The sequence below is a fragment of the Homo sapiens genome, chromosome 3 (assembly GCF_000001405.40).
Source record: "Homo sapiens chromosome 3, GRCh38.p14 Primary Assembly".
Classification (NCBI taxonomy): domain Eukaryota; kingdom Metazoa; phylum Chordata; class Mammalia; order Primates; family Hominidae; genus Homo; species Homo sapiens.
The window spans coordinates 44,512,144-44,527,379 of NC_000003.12; the positions used below are offsets into that span (position 1 = coordinate 44,512,144).

A 15,236-nucleotide genomic window follows, 5' to 3' on the forward strand; every position below is an offset into this window, starting at 1 on the left:
AAGGAAGGGAGGAAGGGAGGGAGGGAAGTGAGAAAGAGAGAAAAGGAATGAAAGAGAGAAGGAAGAAAGAGAGAGAACGAGAAAGAGCAGGCTGCTTCTTGGGCTACAACCTGGAGAGGCTGTGTAACATTATGAGTTGGAGAAGCAGGTACAAAATAGTAAAAACTTCTATAAAGTAGACTAACAGCATGTGGCAGAACAGTGGGTTTTTAAAGGTGGGAACAAGAGAACCAAACAATAGCAAAAATAGATTGATTAACATCAGGTTACTTTTCTTTTAAGGATTAAAGCAGAGGGGGCCTTCCTTATGCTGACTGGGGTTAACTGGGCCCTTTCTGAATGGTTGCTATGAATCTCCTGTTTGCAGGAAAAACTGGTCTGTTAGGGGATTCACATACTTCTATAAAATTTCAGTTTGATTATGTGGCATTTAGCATTAGGAATTCCTTCATTTATTTATTTATTTATTTTGAGACGGAGCCTCCCTCTGTCACCCAGGCTGGAGGGCAGTGGTGTGATCTCGGCTCACTGCAACCTCCGCCTCCCCTCCTGGGTTCAAGTGATTCTCCTGCCTCAGCCACCCAGTAATTGGGACCACAGACACAGGCCACCATCCCCAGCTAATTTTTGCATTTTTAGTAGAGCCAGGATTTGTCATGTCTGCCAGGCTGATCTCGAACTCCTGACCTCAGGTGATCTGCCCACCTCGGCCTCCCACAAGTGCTAGGATTACAGGTGTGAGCCACAGCGCCCAGCCTTATTTATAATTATTTATTTATTTATTTATTTTGAGATGGAGTCTCACTCTGTCACCCAGGCTGTAGTGCAGTGGCGCGATCTTGGCTCACTGCAGCCTCCGCCTCCCGGGTTCAAGCGATTCTCCTGCCTCAGCCTCCTGAGTAGCAGGGATTACAGGCATGTGCCACCATGCCTGGCTAATTTTTGTATTTTTAGTAGAGATGGGGTTTCACCATCTTGACCAGGCTTGTGTTGAACTCCTGACCTCAGGTGATCCGCCTGCCTCTGCCTCCCGAAGTGCTGGGATTACAAGATGAGCCACTGTGCCCGGCTTATTTATTTATTTTTGAGACAAAGTCTGGCTCTATCGCCCAGGCAGGAGTGCAGTGAGTGGTAGGATCTCAGCTCACTGCAACCTCCACCTGCTGGGCTCAGGCCATCATCCCACCTCAGCCTCCTGAGTAGCTGGGACTACAGGCGCACACCACCACACCCGGATAAGTTTTTTTTTTTTTTTTTTGGTAGAGATGGGGTTTTGCCATGTTGCCCAGGCTGGTCTTGAACTCTTGACCTCAGGTGATCCACCTGCCTAGGACTCCCAAAGTGCTGGGATTACAGGAGTGAGCCATGGCGCCCAGCCACTGGTTGTTAATCTTTTAAATATCATCCCTGAGAAGAAAAGAGACCTAGGTAACAGAACTGAAACAGTTCTGTCTGTGAACTGGAAGGAAGTCGTTGAGGAGGTCAATTTCTTTCCCTTCCTGCAGCCCCTCCTCATAGGTAGAAGGAGACAAGGTGGAAAAACAGCTCCTTTAGCCCCTCCCCCAATCACCCAATTAACCCTTTAGTTGCTGGACCATATGAACGATTCAGGATTGGCCTTGCTGTCAGAAAGATGAGGTGGATTGACAAGGTGGGGACAGCTGGTGTCAGAGGGCCATGGGGTTAAGGGCCTCTTTTATTCTCAACAAGCCTATGTCATTGTTCTCTGAGTGGGTTGGAGATGAATGGGTTGCTTGCTAAAAGGAGAGCTGGATGTGTCCTGTGCTTATGATCTCCCACATGGCCTGGCTCTGGTTACCTTAATGTCAAGACCAGCAGAAAATAGTTTGTCTTGTATGGCCTGGCCGCTAGGATGTTAGTGGAGGAAGTGGGTGCAGAGAAGCAGGGAGATACAGAAACCATAGTTGTTCTGTTGGGGTGTTAGAGTGTAACAAGTTGGATGCAGACTTATAAAAGGCAAGATGAAAGCACTAGGGGAGTTGTTAGTAGGAAGATGTGTACCATTGAGTATCCAGTTGACACTTTATGTATAGTCATCAATCAGCGGACGGTGGCAGAGAACAGTTAAATACAGAGTCAGAATGCCTCAACTGTTCCTTCCAAATCAGGAGACAGACTGCAGACAATAGACAGAAATCAAATGGCTGGGTAGTCACAGGGGTGAGGCATCTCCCTGCTGAACACCATGACTGGTGTAAACGAGGGACTCCTGTGAAGTGTGCGCATAGTATCTGCTGCCATCATGTGAAGGATATGGGTCAGTGATGAGGTCTGGGGCAACCCATCTGAGGTTTGTCTGGGATCTGGAGGAAATGTTACAATTCATCAGGCCTTCCAGCCTTGGCCATGACCAACATGCAGGTTTCGTGACTGGCAAACATGGGTGTAATTCCTGACATGAGGAGTAGTGAGTGCATAAAGACTGACATTAGGATCCTCCCAAGAAGGAAGGTTGTAAATTCAGGTGGAATGGTGGTCTGGATGGAGTACCGGGGCTAACGTGACCTTTATAACCCATGGAGGAATGACATTGTGTTTTTCAAATACAGTTGACCCTTGAACAACATGGATTTGAATGGCCTGGGTCAACTTATACATGAATTTTCTTCTGCCTCTGCCACCTCTGAGACAGCAAGACCAGCCCCTACTCTTTATCTTCCTCCTCAACCTACTCAATGTGAAGACAGTGAGGATGAAGGCTTATATGATGATCCACTTCCCCTTAATAAATAGTAAATATATTTTCTCTTCCTTATGACTTTTTTTTTTTTAAGACAGGATCTTGCTCTGTCACCCAGGCTAGAGTGCAGTGGCGCAATCATAGTTCACTTCAGCCTCACCTTCCCTAGCTCAAGCAATCCTTCCATCTCAGCCTTTGGAGTAGCCAGGGCCGCAAGTGTACACCACCACACATGCCTAATTTGCAAAATTTTTGTAGGAATGGGATCTCTTCATATTGCCCAGGCTGCTCTCGAACTCCTGGGCTCAAGTCATCCTCCCACCTTGGCCTCCCAAAGTGCTGGGATTACAGGTGTGAGAAGATTTTTTTTTTTAATTGAGATAGGATCTCACTCTGTTGCTGAGGCTGTGGCATGATCACAGCTCACTGCAGCCTCAAACTCCTGGGCTCAAGGGTTCCTCTTGTCTCAACCTCCCAAGTAGCTAGGACCACAGGTGCATGCCACCATGCCCAGCTAATTTTTTTAAAAATTTTTTGTAGAGATGGAGTCTCACTATGTTGCCAAGGCTGGTCTTGAACTCCAGTCCTCATACAATCCTGCCTGGGCCTCTCAAAGTGCTGGGATTACAGGAATGAGCCACTACACCTGCCCAGTTTTCTCATTAACATTTTCTTTTCATAATTTACTGTATTGTAAGAATACTGTCTATAATACATGTTACATACAAAATATGTGTTAATTAACAGTTTATGTTATCTCTAAGGCTTCTGGTCAACAGTAGATGATTAGTAGTTAAATTTGGGGGGAGGCAAAAGTTATATGCAGATTTTCTACTTCATGGTGGGTCAGTATTCCTAACCCCTAAGTTATTCAAGGGTCAACTATATGTCCACAATTTTTTGCTACTTCTCCCTTCAAGAGATGGAGCTGGACTTAGTGACTTGCTTCTAACAAATAGAATAAGGCAGAAGTGATGATGGCTCACTTCCAAGACTAGGTTATAAAATGTCTATGGCTTCCTTTGTCCTCTGTTTCTGAGATCACTCACATTAAAGGGTGCTAGCTGCCATGCCTTGAGAACACTTAAGCAGCATCATGGAAGGCCCACGTGGCAAGAGACTGAGGACTCCTGCCAAGTGCTAGCGAATAACTCAGGCCCCTCTTCAACGGTCACATTAGTGAACCATCTTGGAAGTGGCTCCTCCAGAGCCAGTTGAGCCTTAAGATGATGACAGCCCCGGTCAACATCACAGCTAAAATCTCAGGACAGACTTTGAGCAAGAACAAATCAGCTAAGCTACTCCTGAATGTCTGACCCACAGAAACGGTGATACAGGCAGTGTTTGTTGTTTAAGCCACAAGTTTGGGGATAATCTGTTATATAGCAACACATAGATAATGACTATACAAAGTTTTTAAAAATCTCTTAAATTTCCCACACTATCCTTCATCTGCAGTTCCTCACTCCCTCTCTGAAATGGTACTTGGAAATTTTGAAATAATCCTACGCATTAGTTAGGACTCTCTTCATCATACGTAAGAGCCACAGATCAAACTACTTGGAGCAAAAGAGGAAGTATCTTACATAAACACTTGAGCAGCAGGGGTGCAGCTGGATCTTAGAAATCCCTGAAACCAGAGACTAGAAAGTTGGTTAGAACACATCTAATAGCTTTGCCTTTAGTTCTAATTCAAAAGAATCTCAGGAAAAGGCTTTGGTTGGTCAATTGAGGTTGCATGCCCATTTCTATTTTTTTTTTTTTTTTTTTGAGATGGAGTCTCGCTCTGTCGCCCAGGCCGGAGTGCAGTGGCGCGATCTTGGCTCACTGCAAGCTCTGCCTCCCAGGTTCACACCATTCTCCTGCCTCAGCCTCCTGAGTAGCTGGGACTACAGGCGCCCGCCACCACGCCCGGCTAATTTTTTGTATTTTTAGTAGAGACGGGGTTTCACCGTGTTAGCCAGGATGGTCTCAATCTCCTGACCTCATGATCCGCCCGCCTCGGCCTCCCAAAGTGCTGGGATTACAGGCGTGAGCCACCGTGCCCAGCTGGTTGCATGCCCATTTCTAAACCAATCAACAGTTGTGGGCAGGACTTCTGTTTCAAGTAATTTTGCATATTAGATGACCTGAAAACTCTCCTGCACAGAGATGTAGAGATTTAAAATACGAAAGTTTCAATAGAATCCAGAGGTTCACACACACAAAAAGAAAATATGAAAGAGTCTAAGAGACATAGAGGAAGAAATTATAAGGTTTCGCCTACAGCTATTAGGAGTTCCAGAAAAGAAAAAAATTAACCACATGTATTCAAAGATAGAATAGCTGTTAATTTTCCAAAATTATTGAAAAACCAAAATCCTTAGATTCAGAAAGCCCAGTAAATCCTAAACAGGATAAATAAATATAAATCTGCACCTAGACACACTGTAGTGAAATTGCAAGATATCAAAGTTTTTTCTCATGCATCCTGTCCAGGCCTGATAAGTCTCTTTTGGTTAAAGTTTCTTTTGTCAACATTCCTCTTAGATTGACAGGGACCAGAAACAGGCACCTATCCCCAGTTATAGTTTGATAATTAGGCTACTTGCTTCATTGTTCCATTCCTCCCCCAACAGACATAGCGGTCCATACTCCTGAAGTGGGGGTCACAGCAAAGTATCATTTCAACACTGGCAGCCATTAACAAATACACACATCACCGATGTTCCCAGCATAAGCGTGCTGCTGGTTCTGCTGAAGGTACTGCTTGTAACATAAATATAATATAAAAAAGCAAATGCTTTTTGTTTTGTTTTGAGACAGAGTCTTGCTCTGTCGCCAGGCTGGAGTGCAGTGGTGTGATCTTGGCTCACTGAAACCTCCACCTCGCAGGTTCAAGCGATTCTCCTGCCTCAGCCTCCCGAGTAGCTGAGACTACAGGCACATGCCACCACGCCCAGCTAATTTTTGTATTTTTAGTAGAGACAGGGTTTCACCATGTTGGCCAGGATGGTCTTGATCTCTTGCCCTTGTGATCTGCCCACCTCGGCCTCCCAAAGTGCTGGGATTACAGGCGTGAGCCACCACGCCAGGCAAGCAAATTCTTTTTTTTTTTTTTTTTTTTGAGAAGGAGTTTCACTCTTGTTGCCCAGGCTGGAGTGCAATGGCACGATCTCGGCTCACTGCAGCTGCCTCCTGGGTTCAAGTGATTCTCCTGCCTCAGTCTCCCAAGTAGCTGGGATTACAGGCACTCGCCACCACACCTGGCTAATTTTTTGTATTTTTAGTAGAGACGGGGTTTCTCCATGTTGGTCAGGCTGGTCTTGAACTCCCGACCTCAGGTGATCCACCCACATCGGCCTCCCAAAGTGCTGAGATTACAGGCGTGAGCCACCGCACCCAGCTGCAAATGCTTTTTAAAATGCTGCTTTGATTCAGTTTGAGATCCTGGCTAGAAGCTGATCAGTTCCTCTTTTTGAGCATCTGATTAAGTCCACACCCCAACACACTCCACACTGTGACCATAAGATATGCAAGTGTCTCCAAATCAAAAGGAAGAAGTTTCTCTCGTATAGGGCAAGGAGGAGGTAAATAGAGATAAGCAGAATCTTTGAGGGGAAGTTGGACAAGCAAACGGAAATAACCAGTGAGGTCTGACAGGACGGTATCTTCCTGTGGTGTGCCAGTTCCCAGGAGAGGCTGATAAAGGGGTTTATTCCACTGTTTGTATTCACTTAGGTGTGGAGTCAGGCAGAATTCTGGGACCCGTAGGAAGGAGAGAAGCCTGAGGAAAGTTTGGCTCTCAGGTATTTTGTTCCACTTGATCAGTGGGGACAAGCATTTTAGCTAATCATTCATGGGGCAAAGAATGGGAATTTGGAGGGTCTGTGTCTGGCCTTGTCATCGGTAAACTGGAGGTATCTGGGAGTCTTACGTAAGTCACATGGGGAAGGGTGGTTCTGTGTAGAAAGTCATTTTCTGGAACACAGGAGAGTGAGGAGATTTCTTAACCTTCACTGTTAACCAGAATCACAGGGCTCAGGTAAAATTCAGCATTGTCAAAAGTAAAAACAGCAATGGTTCTCTGAGGCAATTATAAGTCCAACAGCTCTTCATAGGTGTGACCTTTATAAGTGACCTTTTTTCTGCATACAGAGCAGAGAAGTGAGAAGAGCACGTGATTTAGTCATAAAAATACCTTACATTTACATACCAATAGCTACCTTTTTCATATTTGTTAAAGATATGTTTAGGGTAAAATTACAATGATATAAATTTAACTTGTACTATAAAATTGCACTGTCAGTCACTGCTTCGTTCAAAGCTGGTTTTTCCTTTTCTTTCTTTTTCCTTTTGTGGAGAACAGGAATGTTCTCGCTATGTGGCCCAAGCTGGGCTCAAGCGATCTTCCTGCCTCCATCTCCCTGAGTGCTGGGATTACAGGCACAAACTACTGTACCCTGGCTTGGTTTTCCTTTTCTGCTATCTGGAAAACCCTGAACTCATTACCTCAGTGTTGCTTGCCTACAGCTTCTGGTAGCTCCCTATTTCTGTCTGTGTCAGCTGCAGTTATACCCCTTTATTATCAATTTATAGGTTATGAAAGGGCGATAGTTTACCTGGGATGCAGGGAACTATATTGAGATTCTTGTTCTCCAAAGAATGTTGAACAGACTTATGTTCCAAGTTCCTTCTGGCACCAAGTCTAATGTTACTGTCAAGAAAGCAAACTGGCCAGGCGCGGTGGCTCACGCCTGTAATCCCAGCACTTTGGGAGGCCGAGGCGGATGGATCACGAGGTCAGGAGTTCAAGACAGCCTAGCCAAGATGGTGAAACCCTGCCTCTACTGAAAATACAAGAATTAGCCAGGCATGGTGGTGGGCGCCTGTAATCCCAGCTACTCGGGGGGCTGCGGCAGAGAACTGCTTGGATCCGGGAGGCAGAGGTTGCAGTGAGCCAAGACCGTGGCCACTGCACTCCAGCCTGGGTGACAAAGTGAGACTCTGTCTCAAAAAAAAAAGAAAAAAAAAAGAAAGCAAACTAAAGTGAATAAAATAGTCGGTAAAGGCTGTATTCAGCTTATGTGTGTATCAGTGAGCACCTCGAAATGAGGCAAATCTCTGAGCCAAAGAAACATTGGAGTTTTTGTAAGGTGAGAAGAGAAGGCTACAGATTGTGCTCTTGCTTCTGGCTACAGTTTTCTTTATGTGTAACTGCTGTGAAGCTTAGGGTTGGAATGGAAGCATGTGTTCGATTATTAATGCCTGTTTCTCTGGATCCTTGGTGCAATTTCTTTTTGGCAACTCTCAGGACACTTCTTTGGAGAGCTATCTTTGTAAGTTTTGCAGGTCGTCTGTTATAAACTAATGCTAGTTAAGGTTCAGGGGAGTGGGGGGATAGATGGGTGGATCATTTGAGGTCAGGAGTTCGAGATCAGCCTGACCAACATGGTGAAACTCTGTCTCTGCTAAAATACAAAAATTAGCACCTGTAATCTCAGCTACTCGGGAGGCTGAGGCGGGAGAATCACTTGAACCCAGTAGACGGAGGTTGCAGTGAGCCAAAATCGCACCACTGCACTCCACCTGAGTGACAAGAATGAGACTTCCTCAAAAAAAAAAAAAAAAAAGAAAAGAAAAGTAAGAAAGAAAAGAAATGAAAAGACAGCAAAGGCAGGGGAGAAGATTTTTTTTTTTTAAAAAAAAAAGGAAAAGAGGCAAAGTTCTGAAGAAAGGAAAACTGGAATCTATTTTAATTCTTTTTTTTTTTTTTTTTTTTTTTTGAGACGGAGTATCACTCTGTTGCCAGGCTGGAGTGCAGTGGCGTGATCTCAGCTCACTGCAACCTCTGCCTCCCGGGTTCAAGTGATTCTTCTGCCTCCACCTCCCAGGTAGCGTAGCTGGGGCTACAGGTGTGCACGACCATGCCCGGCTAATTTTTGTATTTTTAGTAGAGATGGGGTTTCACCATATTGGCCAGGCTGGTCTCTAATTCCTGACCTCATGATCTGCCCGCCTTGGCCTCCCAAAGTGATGGAATTACAGGTGTGAGCCACTGCGCCCAGCCTATCTTAATTCTTTTAGAGGACAGAGACATTCTAGAGAGACAGAGTGGGACATTTGTCCTGTATCACTGCTGAACTCCAGACACCTGCAGTGCCCATGTCTAGGCTCTGTTCTGCTTCCTTGTGGGGACACACAACAGAAGAGAGACAGTCCCTCAGTGGCACAGACATCCTCACCACTACTGCTATAGAGTTCAGGAGCAGGAGAACGAGGCACAAACAAATAAAGAAATAGACCTTACAGGAGCTCCCGAGTTCCCATCATCCCCCAGAGAAGAGTGCTTAAAAAGAAAAATACCAGGATTCCACCCATCATGGAAAGGGCTCCAGAAAGATACTGTGCCATCCCACAATGGTCTATGTATCAATAGGGATCACCCACAGACACCAGCAAGGTGCTTGCCTATGTAAATGGGAGCTTCCTGCAGGGAGGTACAGCTTTTGTTAGCAGAATCTCAACTTCAAGGCTGGTATCAGCCTGTTTTTTGCTAAGCCCATTCAGATCTGCTGAGCCAATTCTCCAAGAAGGGAGAAAAGCGGGAGGGAAGAGGAAATAAGCCTCCTGAGCCAACTGGAGTTCTCACTCCACACAGTGAATTTGGAGTGACTAATACTGAGGGGCCAGAATAAATGAGGGGCTGATGGAAGGCTGGCAGTTCAGGTCCTGAAGGTCTTACTGAAGAGAAAATGGATATAATGGGTATGAAGGAGGTAGGGGGATCTCCTTTTGGACTTGGCATATTTCCTGTGAAAACAAAACACAGAAAAACCAAAAAACAAAAATACCCTTATCAAGGTTCTTCAAGAGGTTGAAACAAGTTCTATGAGACCTTTCCAAGGCAGATTTCAAAATCCCCTATGAAGCTTGCTGGCCATGGCATTAAACAAATTGGAGTTTAGATTAAGCTCTTTAAGTTCTTTTTAGAACATATGTAACCAAGACTTTATTAAAAGAATCATAAGCTGTTTTACTTTTTTTTTTCCTTCCTCCATGCATGCTTGCACATAGTCACTTCAGTAGAGGGTAGTCACTAGTAATTGATTAATTTCATATCCTAACCCCTGTGGCTGCCTGCAAGATTGATAAACTTGTTTTTCTTTCTTTTTTTTTTTTTTTTTTTTGAAACAGAGTCTCGCTCTGTTACCCAGGCTGGAGTGCAGTGGTGAGATCTCGGCTCACTGCAACTTCTGCCTCCCGGGTTCAAGCAAGTCTCCTGCCTCAGCCTCCTAAGTAGCTGGGATTACAGGTGCACACCACCACGCCCAGCTAACTTTTGTATTTTTAGTAGAGATGGGGTTTCACCATGTTGGTCAGGCTGGTCTCGAACTCCTGACTTCGTGATCTGCCTGCCTTGGCCTCCCAAAGTGCTGGGATTACAGGTGTGAGCCACCGTGCCTGGCCTTGTTTTTCTTTTAAAGAACAAGGAGACCAGGCATGTGGCTCACACCTGTGATCCCAGCACTCTGGGTGGCTGACAACACAAGAGGATTGCTTGAGCCCAGGAGTTTGAGGCCAGCCTGGGCAACAGAGGAAGACCCTCCCTACAAAAAAAAAAAAAAATCAAAAAATTAGCTGGATGTGCTGTAACTCTAGCGACTCAGGAGGATCACTTGAGTCTAGGAGTTGCAGACTGCAGTAAGTTATGATTCCACCACTACTCTCCAGCCTGTGTGACAGAGCAAGACCCTGTCTCTAAAAATAAACAAACAAATAAATGTCAGGCCTCTGAGCCGGAGCTAAGCCATTGTAACCCCTGTGACCTGCACGTATACATCCAGACGGCCTGCAGGAGCCAAGAAGTCTGGAGCAGCCGAGAAACCACAAAAGAAATGAAACAGCCAGTTTCAGCCTTAACTGATTAACCAAACTTACGACATTCCACCATTATGACTTGTTCCTGCCCTACCCTAACTGATCAATCGACCTTATGACATTTTTCTCCAGGACAATGGATCTCATGATCTCCCCACCATGCACGTTGTGACCTCCTCCCCCTGCTGACAACAGATGACCACCTTCAACTGTAACTTTCCACTGCCTACCCAAGTCCTGTAAAGTTGCCCCTCTCCTATCTCCCTTCGCTGACTCTCTTTTTGGACTCAGCCCACTTGCACCCAAGTGAATAAACAGCCTTGTTGCTCACACTAAGCCTGTTTAGGTGGTCTTCTATATGGACATACGTGACAATAAATAAATCACAATGAGTCTTAGGTGATGCAGACCTTCTTGATGGCATCCAGAAGTTTGATCAGACCAAGAGATGCAAACAGCTTTGATTGTCAGGCATTCCACCTCCTGCCTACCTACCTTACTCAGAAAAGCCCCCAGTTATGTTCAAAGGGAAATCTTTGAACATAAGACTTGGTTCTGAGTGTCTCTCACCCACTCTGTTTGGTCAAATTAAATAAACCTTTCTCTGCTCCTAAGTGCTGATGTGTCAGTGTTTGGCTTACTGCACATCAGGTACATGGATCTAAATATCGGGGTTCAATAACACATGTAGGTTATTACAGGAATCCACAAAAGGGACCTTCAAGTTGCATCCTGTGTGTGTTTCTTTGGCCTTTATGACATGGTTCGGAAACACAGTAGTCTTATCTGGAGAGCGTGTTAAAACTCTGATCACTGGACCCCACTTTCACATTTATGATTGAGTAGGTCTATGGAGGGACCTGAGAACTTGCCTTCATCACTGGTTCCCAGGTGACACAGCCATTTGGGGCACCATGCTTGGAGAACCACTCCGGAGACCTCTAAATTGGTAGTTCAACCTTAGCTGCACTTAGAAAACACTGGGAAAATTTGTGTGTGTGTAACCAGCTCACGTTTCATTGTGACATTTTGAAATTGTACAAGTATTTTGACATCTGCCCCCCACATTTAGTCTCTTAAAACGACAGGAAAACATCAACCAATCACAGGTTTAATTAGTTTAAAAAATTTACCCCTTCAATTCCTCTTTGTAGCCCCCAGCACCCAATATTCCTTTGAAATATGAAACAGACCCAGCAGTGGCCAACAGTAAATTTCTACCCTGCACCCCACAACAGAGATGAAAAGTTCAAGCTCTCTGAGCATTGTGTTGCAGTGGCACTTGTCCAGAATTGGTACCTCTGCCTAGTTGGGGGAGTTTAAATGTACCAGTGAAAATAGCTTTTTCTCCTTCAAAGGGAAGAAAGAAAATCTCTCCCCAAAACCCAGAAGGTCTGAAGATCTGGCTGTGAGGTCTTTCTCTTTCTTCCTGTCCCATCTCTTCAGACCTTTTTTTTTTTTTTTTTTTTTTTTGGCAGTGGAGCAAGAGAGACCAAAACCTAACTTGAGTTACAAGAAACAAGACAGTGATGGCTATAAAGGGAGTGACCAGGAGCAACTGAGACACTCCTTTACCTCCCACATCCAATGTTTGTGCTTCACAGAAAAACGACAAAAATAACAAATCCACAAAATGCAACAGCTGGAATTACAAATTTCATTCACCCAAGGGTGGTAGAAGGCAGGAAGGAAAGGTGGGAAGGTAAATGGCACAGGGAGAAAAACAAAATATTCAAATCAATCCAGCCATAGGGACTGGCAAATGCTAGAAAAATCGCTGTAAAAAAAAAAAAACTAAAACTAAAAAAACTGTGGTCCTTTCAGACTCTCAGTGGTGTTAAAAATCCACACGCTGGTGTCAGGAAGATTCTACCTTACGTGCACCAGAGATAAAGATTCCAATTCCTCAGAGAGGGAATATGCAGAGGGCCTTTGGCAGGATGAATCGTGCCTTTCCTGGCAGGGGGAGGTAAAATGGGAAAAGAGCTGCCACAGCCTCCTTCCAATCCCACCCATCCCCTCGATGGCAGGTGACTCAGGCCTTCAGTAGCCTTCAATCTGGGTAGAGACATATGTGGTGAAGGGAACTTCTCTGCAGAGGCTGAGCTGCTCAAGGCAGACTGCAGGTGAGAGTGTCTTGTGGAAGAGTCTGTTGCTTAAGAAGACCACGAAGGAGGAGAGGTGCAACTCAAAGAGGTATGCTTGGCCGGGGATCTTTGCCTCATTGCACTGATAATGAATAAAGGAAAGAGGATAGAGAAAAGGCAGCCATGGAAAATATATGAGGACTGCATTGCTGTGAGAAAAGCCAAAAAAACCAAACCCAAAGTAGTAAAGCCAGTTCCTCTCTGTGTTAGAGGAACCGCTGGTGCATTTCAATTCCTTTACTGAACCAACCATATTTGAAGCAGTAGAATGAGTCAAGAAGAGACAAACGCCGGAGAGTAACCAGCTGACCAACAAGGTGGGTGGGAAAGAGACTCACAGACATTCCTTGAATGGGGAAAAGAGCCTGCAGCAAAAGATTGGAGAGCATGTCAGCAGTTATTTTGTGGACACTAGGGAATGGGTGAGGCTTCCTCCCTGATGCTTCAAATGCCAGGTCAGCTGTATCTTGGAACCACATGGCATTCACAACTTTGCTAGGCATGTACAAGGGGAGCACCCAAAGGCCTGGAAATTTATACGAGGAAAAATTCCAGCCATGACCAAGCATCTCCACACAGTGATGGATCATAAGTAATTCACGCTGTTACTCACTGAAGCCCAGGAATAAACACCCGATAAAGCAAGAGTAGACTGAACCAGAGCAGTCCACCCCTCCAAGCGCAACACTGGAAAATTCTACTAACACTTGCTGGCTCACTCTCTTGCTCCCACTCTATACTCTGGGGTATTCTCTGTGCCAGGACAATGCTTGCCCTTCTTCCACGCTGCTCCCCTCTTTTGATGGATTGGAGTGTCTAGCTGGAGATGGTACAAATATCCCAGATGAAGTCTTTGACTCCCCTGGAAAGGTCCTGGAGAAAGGTTTTGACACTGTCAGCCATGTCGTCAGTACCCAAACTATCAACTACGCAGAGGAGATATAAGTGCCCCCAATCTCTCATCATGAAGGACCCTGCAGCTCTGCCACCACGGCTCCAGCCTGGCCCCTCACCCACCACCACGGGCCCAGTTGGCTCCTCTGTGCCAGGCAGCCTGCTCCACCGGGGTGCTCCCAGGGTTGGGATGCTATGCCCACATTGGCCATGCCTGGGCTGCAGAGACAGGGAGATTTTTTTAAATGCAATTCTCTACCTTATTTCAAACCGATTAAATCAGAATCTTGTAGGTGGTGCTCAGGCATTGGATTTTTGCAAAGCTCCCAAGTGGTGCTTCCATGCATTAAAGTTGAGAAGCACTGCTCTAAATTTGTTTTGGCCCCGTGGAAAGGTTTCCAACTGATTTCTTATGAAAAAGGTAGTAGAAACCTCCTCTTCAGTTTGTACCAATAAGGTTATAAGGTTGGCCTCTGCCTGACTGGAGAGTGGGGCTGTACAAAAAACTGCTCCACCCCCAGTTATGTTTGGCCCCAAGGCTGGCCAATGGTTCCACTGGTTTCAGCTTCCTTCTCCTCTGCCTTGGGATTTTAGAGCCCACAGCTTCCAGCATGACCTGCTAGTTGCTGTCAAGGAGATGACGTTAACCTTGTTATGTGCCCTTTGCTTCTCAATCTCTCCTCCTTGGGACTATCAGTGATCCTAGAGATGAAGTAGGAATTGTAAATAAAAGTTTTCATCCAGACCAGTGCTTCTCAGATGTGAAGGTACAAACAAATCACCTGGCGAGCCTGTTAAAAAGAAGATTCTGATACTGTGGGACTAGGGTAGGGCCTCAGAGCCTGCATTTCTTCTTATTATTAGTATTAGTATTATTATCTTTTTAAAATTTTATTTTTCACCTCAATGTGTCACAACAAGCCTGTATTTCCAACAAGCTCCCAGGTGGTGGAGAGCTGTTAGTCTGAGGGCCACGCTTGGAGGAACAAGGACCAAATCTCTTCTTTCCCCCATTGACATTAAAGATTGTTAAGAACCAGACAAGGCACAGTGGCTCACACCTATAATCCCAGCACTTTGGAAGGCCAAGGTGGGTGGATTGCTTGAGCTCAGGAGTTCAAGACCAGCCTGGGCAACATGGCGAAACCTCATCTCTACATAAAATACAAAAATTAGCCAGGCATGGGGCACGTGCCTGTAGTCCCAACTACTGGAGGGGCTGAGTTGGGAGGATCGCTTGGACCCAGGAGGTCGAGGCTACAGTGAGCTGTGATCGCACCACTGCACTTCAGCCTGGGCAACAGAGTGAGACCCTGTCTCAAAAAAAAAAAAAAAAAAAAAAAGCATCGTTAGTGGGAACCGGGGATGTAAAAGGACTGGGCCCTATAAATGTAGCCCAAGGTACAGAAAGAGTGGTTGCTGCTTTCCTCTCAGTTGGTTAAGCATGGGTGACAGAGGCAGATTGGTGGTTCCAACGGGAACTTCTGGTGAGATTTCATCTCCTGTGGATAGGTTTGCCCTGAGAACAAGGTGAGGGGCAGTGGGTATAGGAGGCCAGAAAAGAGGGTGTGAACCAGAGCACGGAGAGGCTTTGGTGTCATGCTTCAGAGTTCTGAAGTTTCTTGTTTGTGACA

General features: G+C 45.5%; 1 pseudogene, besides 2 other annotated features; it reads right to left on the reverse strand.

The window, feature by feature from the left end:
* Window positions 5,959-6,108: an enhancer, noted in NCBI's record as "active region_19765". NCBI's record gives its function as "activates an Ori minimal core promoter by ATAC-STARR-seq in GM12878 lymphoblastoid cells {active_cell/tissue: GM12878}" and the evidence as "EXISTENCE:reporter gene assay evidence [ECO:0000049][PMID:35858748]".
* Window positions 6,229-6,348: an enhancer, noted in NCBI's record as "active region_19766". NCBI's record gives its function as "activates an Ori minimal core promoter by ATAC-STARR-seq in GM12878 lymphoblastoid cells {active_cell/tissue: GM12878}" and the evidence as "EXISTENCE:reporter gene assay evidence [ECO:0000049][PMID:35858748]".
* On the reverse strand, window positions 12,309-13,726 carry EI24P3 (EI24 pseudogene 3; annotated as a pseudogene).